Source organism: Homo sapiens, chromosome 13, assembly GCF_000001405.40.
Source record: "Homo sapiens chromosome 13, GRCh38.p14 Primary Assembly".
Taxonomy (NCBI): domain Eukaryota; kingdom Metazoa; phylum Chordata; class Mammalia; order Primates; family Hominidae; genus Homo; species Homo sapiens.
Window position 1 is genome coordinate 73,009,467 of NC_000013.11, and position 10,127 is coordinate 73,019,593.

General features: G+C 41.3%; 1 protein-coding gene across 7 annotated transcripts in view; it reads left to right on the top strand.

Annotated features, from left to right (window-relative positions):
• Positions 1-6,995, top strand: part of PIBF1 (progesterone immunomodulatory binding factor 1) — a 234,329-nt gene extending 227,334 nt beyond the window's left edge. For all 7 annotated transcript variants that reach the window (NR_146205.2, NR_146206.2, NM_001349655.2 and 4 more), the window contains one exon: positions 6,403-6,995. Coding sequence is in view for 5 of the 7 variants with exons in the window: in NM_001349655.2 (NP_001336584.1) it covers positions 6,403-6,453 (51 nt within the window). In the remaining 2 variants the exon portion in view is untranslated. The remainder of the gene's footprint in view (positions 1-6,402) is intronic.

A 10,127-nucleotide genomic window follows, 5' to 3' on the forward strand; every position in this document is an offset into this window, starting at 1 on the left:
CACAAGGACTGGCACAGAGTAGTTAGTCAAATAAATGCTATTAAACTAATCCCAAGTACAAATAATTGAGTTCATGTTGGAGAGTGTCAAGAAATAGGATTAGATATGTAAGTATGGGCCAGATCCTAAAGGGGCCAGTCTTCTAAGTGAAATGTGGTTAGAACATGACAGTGATGGTGAAGTTCACCCAAAATAACCTGGGAATAAGGAACATATCTTAGTCCTATGGGAACAGACTTTGAAATTAAAATGGTTGTGATAAGACATCTGAAAAGTCACCCTATGAAGTAGCAAGGCAGTTAATCCCCAAGACAAGGTACACTTGACTGTGGCAAATCTGTCTCATTAACAGGAGGAGAAAACATATTAGGGGTGGGAGTAATGGTCTGCAGTGTAGCAGACACAGATAAAAGGAGAGTCAGAAAGAACTGTCTGCCATTGAAATTCTTATACCGTCCTTTTTGAGTATTAAGATTCCTTTTTAATGCCAAAGTTTTTATTTACCTTCTCCCTGTAAACACATAGTAGTAGTAAAAAGTTTAGTATCAGTTCATTGAGGAAATGCAAATGTACAAACCAATTCTGCATCCTTTGGTATAATCCCGAGGATCTGTAGCTTAGTTTATAGCAGTTGCTTTCACCTTTTTGGCCAGGAGTCACAGTTGAGAAAACAATTTACGTTATGACCTAGTAATGATCACACAGTTTCTCAAAACAGAACTTACCCCCACTATGGCCAATACTCTAATATTTTCTATGCTAGTTTTTTTTTTTTTTTTTTTCTAAATTCTGTTCTTTTACCTACTAGAGTTCATTACCCGTGGGTTGGGACCTGCAATTTAAAGAACAATGGTGGCCGGGTGCTGTGGCTCACACCTGTAATCCTAGCACTTTGGGAGGCCGAGGCAGGCGAATCACCTGAGGTCAGGAGTTCCAGACCAGCCTGGCTAACATGGTGAAACCCCATCTCTATTAAAAATACAAAAATTAGCCAGGGGTGGTGGTGCATGCCTGTAGTCCCAGCTACTCGGGAGGCTGAGGCAGGAGAATTGCTTGAACCTGGGAGGCGGAGGTTGCAGTGGGCCGAGATTGCGTGACTGCACTCCAGCCTGGGCAACGGAATGAGACTTCATCTGAAAATAAATAAATAAATAAAGAACAATGGCATACATGTTCTTCTATGACCAAGAATAGTGACAGCCCTAGACTTTTAGCTGGCTCACCTTTCCCAGTCACCCAAATCTATCTGATTGTATAAGAATCATGCAATTCCCTAGTTTTACTCTGACTTTTCCTTATCTTAACAACAAATAAAAAGCTGAGCTGGAAAATCATTAACTTTTCTTTTTTTTTTTTTTTTTTTTTTTTTTTTTTGAGACAGAGTTTTTCACTCTTTGTTGTCCAGGGTGGAGTGCAATGGTGTGATCTCAGCTCACTGCAACCTCCACCTCCCAGGTTCAAGCGATTCTCCTGCCTCAGCCTCCCAAGTAGATGGGATTACAGGTGCCTGCCACCACACCCGGCTAATTTTTGTATTTTTAGTAGAGAAGGGTTTCACCATGTTGGCCAGGCTGGTCTCGAACTCCTGACCTCAGGTGATCCCCCCCACCTTGGCCTCCCAAAGTGCTGGGATTACAGGCGTGAGCCACCACACCCAGCCAACTTTTCTTAAATACATAAGAGAAGTGAGGTCACAAAGCAAACTGCTGCCCCCAAAATTGGACAGATAGGCCAATACAGAGAATGATGATGTATCAGAGCAAAAAATCCCATGGATGGGAACCAGTGCTGGGGTAGGAAAACCTGAATGTAACTGCTAGAAGTTAGGTATGGACAAGTCTGAAAGTTAAAAACTCCAGTCATAGAAGGAACCCCCACACTCTTGTGAATTTTAACTTTAGAAGCTTGACCTAGTTCTTACAGTAAATATTGGGAGAAAAATCCCCTTCCGTTTCCAGCAGTGGGAGGGAAAAAAGAACATTTTGAAATATGTTAGAGAACTCAGTTCTCAACAAGGTCTCCCTTCAGGAGAAGCTATTTTAACTAGAAGCTACCCTGCTGGGGCTTTATCAAAGCCTAACTGACCTGGGAAAAACTCAATACCCAATCCAGCCCACCTAGCCATCATGGCCCACCTAAGAAGGGAAAAAAAACTGAGAAACGTGTGTAAAGTTCATATTCCAGAGGCACACTCTAACTGAAAGACTGAGACCTAATCATAGGACCATAGGATGACTTCCCTACCCCCACACCTTACCACCACATTACCAAAGGCCCATTTACGGCAGTTTCTTTTTCCCAGTACAGTATGTCCAGTTATCAGGAAAAACTTAACCAGGTAGACTAAAAACCAAAAAACACAGTTTGAAGAGACAGTGCAAGCATCAGAACCAGAGTCAATTGTGCCATAAATGTTGGAATTAACAGACAGAGAACCTAAAACAACTATGATTAGTATGCCAAGGGCTGCAACAGATAAAGTAGACAGCTTGCAAGAACAGATGGGCACTGTGAGCAGAAAGATGAAAATCCTAAGAAAGAACCCCCCCAAAAAGGAGAAATACTAGAGATCAAAACTGCTTATAACAGAAACGACAAATGCTGGCCGGGTGCAGTGGCTCACACCTGTAATCCCAATGCTTTGGGAGGCCGAGGCGAGCAGATCACCTGAGATCAGGAGGTCGAGACCAGCCTGACCAACATGGTGAAACCCCATCTCTACTAAAAGTACAAAAACTAGCTGGGTGTAGTGGCAGGCACCTGTAATCCCAGCTACTTGGGAGGCTGAGGCAGGAGAGTTGCTTGAACCTGGGAGGCCAAGGTTGCAGTGAGCCGAGATTGTGCCACTGCACTGCAGCCTGGACAACAAAGTGAGACTCTGTCTCAGAAAAAAAAATAAATGACAAATGCATTTGATAACCTGATTAGTACAGTGGACATTGCTGAAGAAAGAATCTCTAACCTTGAGAATATTTCAGGCCAGGCACAGTGGTTCATGCCTATAATCCCAGCACTTTGGGAGTGTGAGAGGATCACTTGAACCCAGGAGTTCGAGTTCCAGACCAACCTTGGCAACATAAGAGACCCTGTCTACACACACACACACACCAAAAAAAACAAAAAAAAACAAAAAAAACACTTAGCCAGGCACTGTGGTGCACACCTGTGGTCCCAGCAACTCGAAGAGCTGAAGTGGGAGGATCGCTTGAGCCCAGAAGGTCAAGGCTGCAGTGAGCCATGATCATGCCACTGCACTGTAGTCTAGGCAACAGAGCAAGACCCTGTCTCCACCAATAATAATAATAATAATAATAATAAGGGTATTGTAACAGAAACCTCTAAAAAAGAGAATATCCAAGGACTAAAGGATGACTACAAAAGCTATAGCATATATTTAATGAGAATATTAGAAAGAGAAGTAAGAAAGGAAGAGAAGAAATATTTGAAACAATAATGACAGAATTTCCCCCAAACTAATGTCAGACACCAAATATCCAAGGACTAAAGGATGACTACAAAAGCTATAGCATATATTTAATGAAAATATTAGAAGGGCCGGGCGCGGTGGCTCACGCCTGTAATCCCAGCACTTTGGGAGGCCGAGGCGGGCGGATCACGAGGTCAGGAGATCGAGACCATCCTGGCTAACACGGTGAAACCCCGTCTCTACTAAAAATACAAAAAATTAGCCGGGCGTGGTGGCGGGCACCTGTAGTCCCAGCTACTCGGGAGGCTGAGGCAGGAGAATGGCGTGAACCCGGGAGGCGGAGCTTGCAGTGAGCCGAGATCGCGCCACTGCACTCCAGCCTGGGCGACAGAGCGAGACTCTGTCTCAAAAAAAAAAAAAAAAAAAAAAAAAAGAAAATATTAGAAGGAGATGGAAGAAAGAAAGGAAGAGAAGAAATATTTGAAACGGTGACAGAATTTCCCCCAAACTAATGTTAGACACCAAACCACAGACCCAGAGAAAGATAAATGCAAAAAGAAAAAAACAAAAAACGAAAAACTATACTTAGGCATATCATTTGCATATCATTTTCAAACTACAGAAAATTGAGATAAAGACAAAATCCTAGCCTGGGCAACATGGCAAAACCCCATCTCTATAAAAAATATAAAAATTAGCTGAGAGTGATGGCATGCACCCATATTCCCAGGTACTCGGAAGGCTGAGGCAGGACTATCACTTGAGCCCGAGAGGTTGAGGCTACAGTTAGCCATGATCATACCACTCCAGCCTGGGTAACAGAGCAAGAGCCTATCTCAAAAAAAAAAAAAAAAAAAAAAGAAAAAGAAAAAATCCTGAAAGAAGCCCGAGGAAAATAACACCTTACCTATAGAGAAGCAAAGGTAAGGATTACATCTGACTTCTCAGAAACAATGCAAGCAAGGAAAGAGTGGAGTGAAACATTTAACGTTATGAAAGAACAAAACCACCAACCTAAAATTCTGTACCCTGCAAAATTATTCTTTTCAGAAGTGAAAAAACAAAAATTGAAGGAATTTATTCCATAACTTTTCAAAACAGAAAGCACTAGGCCCAGATGGGTTCACTGTTGAATCCCTTCCCTTCCCTTCCCTTCCCTCCCCTCCCCTCCACTCCCCTCTCCTCCCCTCCCCCTTTTTCCTCCCTAGTAGCTGGGACTACAGGCGCATGCCACCATGCCCAGCTAATTTGTGTATTGTTTGTAGAGATGGAGTTTTGCCATGTTGCACAGACTGGTCTTGAACTCCTGAACTCAAGTGATCTGCCTGCCTTGGCCTCCCGGTGTGAGCCACAGCACCCAGCTAAAATTGTACCTATTCTCTACAATCTCTTTCATTAGATAGAAGCAGAGAGAATACTTCCCAGCTCATTTTGCAAGGCCAGCATTGCCCTAATTCCAAAATCAAAGATATTAGAGGAAAACAAAACTACAGACCAATATCTCTCATGAATGTAGATGCAAAAATCTATGAGGATTTCTAGGGCAGTGAAAATATTATGTGATACTATATATTATTATGATACTATAATGGTGGATGCCTGTCTATAGACATTTGTCCAAACCCATAAAATGCATAGTACCAAGAGTGAACCCAAATGTAAACTGTGGACCTAGGGTGATAATATGTCAGTGTAGGTTCATCAGTGGTAACAAATGTACCATTGTGCTAAGGGATATTAATAATGGAAGAGTCTGTGCATGTGTGGAGCCGGAGAGTATATGGGATATCTCTGTACCTTCCTCTCAATTGTTTTTTAAGACAGTCTTGCTCTGTTGTCCAGGCTTGAGTGTAGTGGCATGATCACAGCTCACTTCAGCCGCCTTGACCTCCTGGGCCCAAGTGATTTTTTTTTACATGATGTCTTGCTCTGTCACTCAGACTGGAGTGCAATACCACAATCTCAGCTCACTGCAACCTCCACCTCCCAGGTTCAATTCTCCTGTCTCAGCCTCCCGAGTAGCTTGGATTACAGGTGTGCACTACCATGCCTGGCTAATTTTTTGTATTTTTAGTAGAAACAGGGTTTCACCATGTTGGCCAGGCTGATCTCAAACTCCTGACCTCAAGTGATCCACTGTCCTTGGCCTCCCAAAGTACTGGTATTACAGGCATGGGCCACCGCGCCCATCGTCAAGTGATCTTCTCACCTCCATCTCCCGTGTTAACTGAGACTACAGGTGCATGCCACCATGCCTGGCTAACTTGTTTTTTCTTTTCGTGGAGATGGGGTCTCACTATGTTGCCCAGGCTAGTCTCGAACTCCTGGGCTCAAGCAGTCCTCCCACCTCAACCTCCCAAAGTCCTGGGATTACAGGCATGAGCCACCGCGCCCAGCCAAAATAGGAACTTTGACTGGAATCAGTGAAGTTCTGAATGTTTTATTCTGTAATTCACCTCCCCTGCCTTTTTCTTTCTATTCTGTACAGCCTGTCGCCTTTTAGGCTGAAATGATTGAGTAATAAACCCAAGAAGTACTCTGGTAAATACTTAGAAATTCATAAGATCTAAAACACAATAATTTGGATACAGTAATTATTTAATAAATATCTATTGAGTGAATGAATATCTATTATCTATATAGATGAGACAACTGAAAAGAAGTCATGTCCTTGATTTTTTTATAATTCTCTTTGAAAATAAAATCAATTCGTAAAATAATTGCATCCCCAGAAAATCTTAAGTATAGGCTTTGAGCAAGAAAACACAGTTTTTTCTATCATATACCTACCAGGTGGGAGATTATTTATGGCAAAAGACAAAGTCTTCGCCCTTAAGTATCCTTTCTGAATTAAGAAAAGCAATTTTTTAGTATAGCTTACATAAAAAAACCTCAATGTATATAGTTCTCTGAGTTGCCTCTCTTGTCCTCCTTGTAAGCATTTTATTGGATTTTCTTTTTCTTTTTTTAAACAGACTAAAAAAGAAGCACCTGAGTGGTCTAAGAAACAAAAGATGAAGACCTAGTGTTTTGGATGGGAAGCACCTGTAGACCATTATATACTCCTGAAGTTCTTTTTCTGATGGAAAACAAAATTCAGCTTAATCGTGTACTCAGCATTTTTTAAATAACAATGTTTATTTGAACTAATATTAAATTAACAAATTCAGTGTAATCAAAATGTGTAAAGAACAATCAATATACTTTATTTTTTTTTCTATTTTATAAAATAAATATATATGCTATGCTTTAAATTTTGGAGCTTTCATAAATGTTCAATGCATTTTAAGTGTGTGGCTTATAAATATTTTGGTATTTTTCTATACTACGTAAATTCTGAGTTTAAATGTCATACACAAATACTAAGACACTTTGCATTTTTAAAAATTAAGAATCATTTGTGAAGTCCACTACGAGGTACTTCAAAAGCCCAGTAATGGTGGTCAGATACCATGTAGATGGATACAGATTGTTGACTCTTTTGAAGTTGTTTTTTTCTTATATTTTATATTACCATTAACCAATAAAATCTGGCAGAAAGTCTGCTATTCCATTGGTAAAGTGAAAATTTGGTGGAAAGTCTGTTGCTACATCAGTCATAACATTGTTGGACCAGATGCAATATGGATCAGATTTCTAGTCAGAAAAAAAATCAATAGGATTTTCTTTTGTCATAAAATATGCTCCATTTCTCATTGAAGTTGTATACTTTAAAAGAACGGAAGGAGGCAAGAGAGAGGAAAAAAGGAAAGAAATATATATATACACACACACATATATATGTATGTCCAGGTTTTTCAACCACTATTGACATTTTGTTTGTTTGTTTTTTTGAGACGGAGTCTTGCTTTGTTGCCCAGGCTGGAGTGCAGTGGCGTAATCTCTGCTCACTGCAGCCTCCGCCTTCCAGGTTCAGACAGTTCTTCTGTCTCAGCCTCCCGAGTAGCTGGGATTACAGGCACCCGCCACCACGCCCAGCTGATTTTTGTATTTTTAGTAGAGACAGGGTTTCACCATGTTGGCCAGGCTGGTCTCGAACTCCTGACCTCAGGTGATCCACCTGCCTCGGCCTCCCAAAGTGCTGGAATTACAGGCATGAGCCACCACACCCTGCCCACTATTGACATTTTGGGCTGGATAATTCTTTCTTAAGGGTGGACATAGGGTAAATCCTATGCATGTCATAATATATACCAGCATCCCTGGCCTTCAGCACTAGCTACCAGTTACACCCCCACCGCAACCCTAGTTTTTTGGTTTTTGGGTTTTTTTTCTTTTAGAGACAGAGTCTCTCTATGTTGCTCAAGCTGGTCTTGAACTCTGGGCTCAAGCAGTCCTCCCTCCTCAGCTTCTCAAAAGTGCTGGGATGACAGGCGTGAGCCACCTCACCTGGTCCCACCCCCAGTTTTAACAAGCCAAAAATGTCCTGGATGAAGACTAGGGTTCCTTCTACCTCTTGGCCATTGTGAATTGTCTTACTTTTTAACCCTTACCTCATCTTCTCCTGGTCATGGATTTTCTATTTATCTATCTGTTTATCTATCTATCTATCTATCTATCTATCTATCTATCTATCTATCTAGAAACAGGGTCTTGCACTGTCACCCAGGCTGGAGTGCAGTGGCATGATCATAGCTCAATGCAGCCTCAAACTCCTGGGCAAAAGGGATCCTCCCACCTTAGCCTCCCAAATAGCTGGAACTACAGGTGCATACCACTACACCTGGCTAGTTTCTTTTAAACTTTTTTAGAGACAGGGGTCTCAGTATGTTGGTCAGGCTGGGCTCAAGTGATTTTCCCACCTCAGCCTCCCCAGTAGCTGAGATTACAGGTGTGAGTCACCACACCTGGCTCTTACTTAAAAATAATAAAAACAAAAATTAATCATAACATTATTTTTTCTTGATAAATGTTTTATGAAATGTTGCCCAAATGCAAGTGTAATAGCCACCATTATCAAGCTCATTCTGTCAGCCAGTTGCTGTGTTACATGCTTTCTACTCTTTATTTAATCTTCACAGTAACTCTGTCAAGTAAGCATTATCTTCATTTTTAAAATGAAAAAAACCGAGACTCAGTAAGGGTAACTAAATGGCCCAAGATCACACACACGATAAATAGAAGTGGATTTGAACCAAGTTGCTACGCTCTTTCCAGTACACGACACTGCTTCTCATTGCTTGCTTCCTATCCCTGGCTCCCAAGCTCACTTCAATAGCAAGAAATGCAGGGGAAATTTTTAATTTTTTTTAGATATGGTCTCACTTTGTTGCCCAGTCTAGTATCAAACTACTGGCCTTGAGCAATCCTCCCACTTCAGCCTCCAGAGTGAGTAGCTGGGATTGGAGGCGCAAGCCACCCTCCCAGCGAAAATTTTGTTCTATCACCTTTTCTTTGTGGGTAGGGGGGCTATGGGACTTAGCATAGTTGCATTGTTTTTGCTCAAGATAAGTTCATGGTTCTGAAACTTTGTTTTTTTGTTTGTTTGTTTTTTTGTTTTTTTTTTTTTGCAGAAGCTTAGCATTCCCATACTCGTAGTTGAACCCAGGCCACCTGGGTGAAAAACCAGGAATCCTAAGACCATGTGGGAGATGACTCTAACTCCTAAAGAATTCCATGACTCTTATAATAGTTCTTACCAGGTTAACAGGATATACTCAGCTTTCAGAACCAACTAAATGGCTTGTATTCACTTTATTGATTCATACATTCTTTCATTGAACAAACAAGAAAAATCTAAAATGTGTAAGGCATTCAAACTATGTATTGTTTGTCTTCTTCTCAAAGGGCCCTGAAAAAGAATTCTATGATACCTCAAGCACCAAAGGAAGTTTACTTTCATCATCCTCAGTATAGAAATTTCCAAAAAGAAGTATCAGCTAGTGACCCAAGTACTCCAAATGCACTATATATATAAAGAAGATGCCACTTTTGCTGATTTCAGTAAGTCATACTTGGATAATCATACATCAGGAATGTTAAGGAAGATTCCCACACTTTAGGGAGGTTGAAGTTGTTAATGAACCAGATTCGCTTTTATGCTAAGATCCTGAGACAGAAAGGCTACTCTATCTCAGTCTCTCTCTCTCTCTCTTTCTCTTTCTCTCTCTCTCTCTCTATATATATATATATGTATTTTTTTTTCTTTGAGTTGGAGTCTCGCTCTGTCACCCAGGCTGGAGTGCAGTGGCGCGATCTCGGCTCACTGCAACCTCTGCCTCCTGGGTTCAAGCAATTCTCCTGCCTCAGCCTCCTGAGTTGCTGGGACTACAGGCACGTGCCACCATGTCTCACTAATTTTTTTGTATTTTTAGTAGAGATGGAGTTTCACATTGGCCAGGCCGGTCTCGAACTCCTGACCTCAAGTGATCCACCCACCTCGGCCTCCCAAAGTGCTTGGATTACAGATGTGAGCCACCGTGCCCAGCCAGAAAGGCTACTATATTATATAGCTTTGTGGTAGACTCCTGTGGGCCTCTTAGATTTAACAAAGGTAAGAATTCCCACTTAATTATTTGAAAAAACATTTCACTTTTATTAAAAATACTGCTGTTTGAAAAAGGTGCTTCTCCAGTGGCATTCAGTATTGGTGGCCTGGCATGGTGGGTACTACCCAATGAAGACTGTACTATATATTTATAGGCCATACTTATGAACACGTGTATATATATTTATATAAGATCTACCTATCTAGGATGGA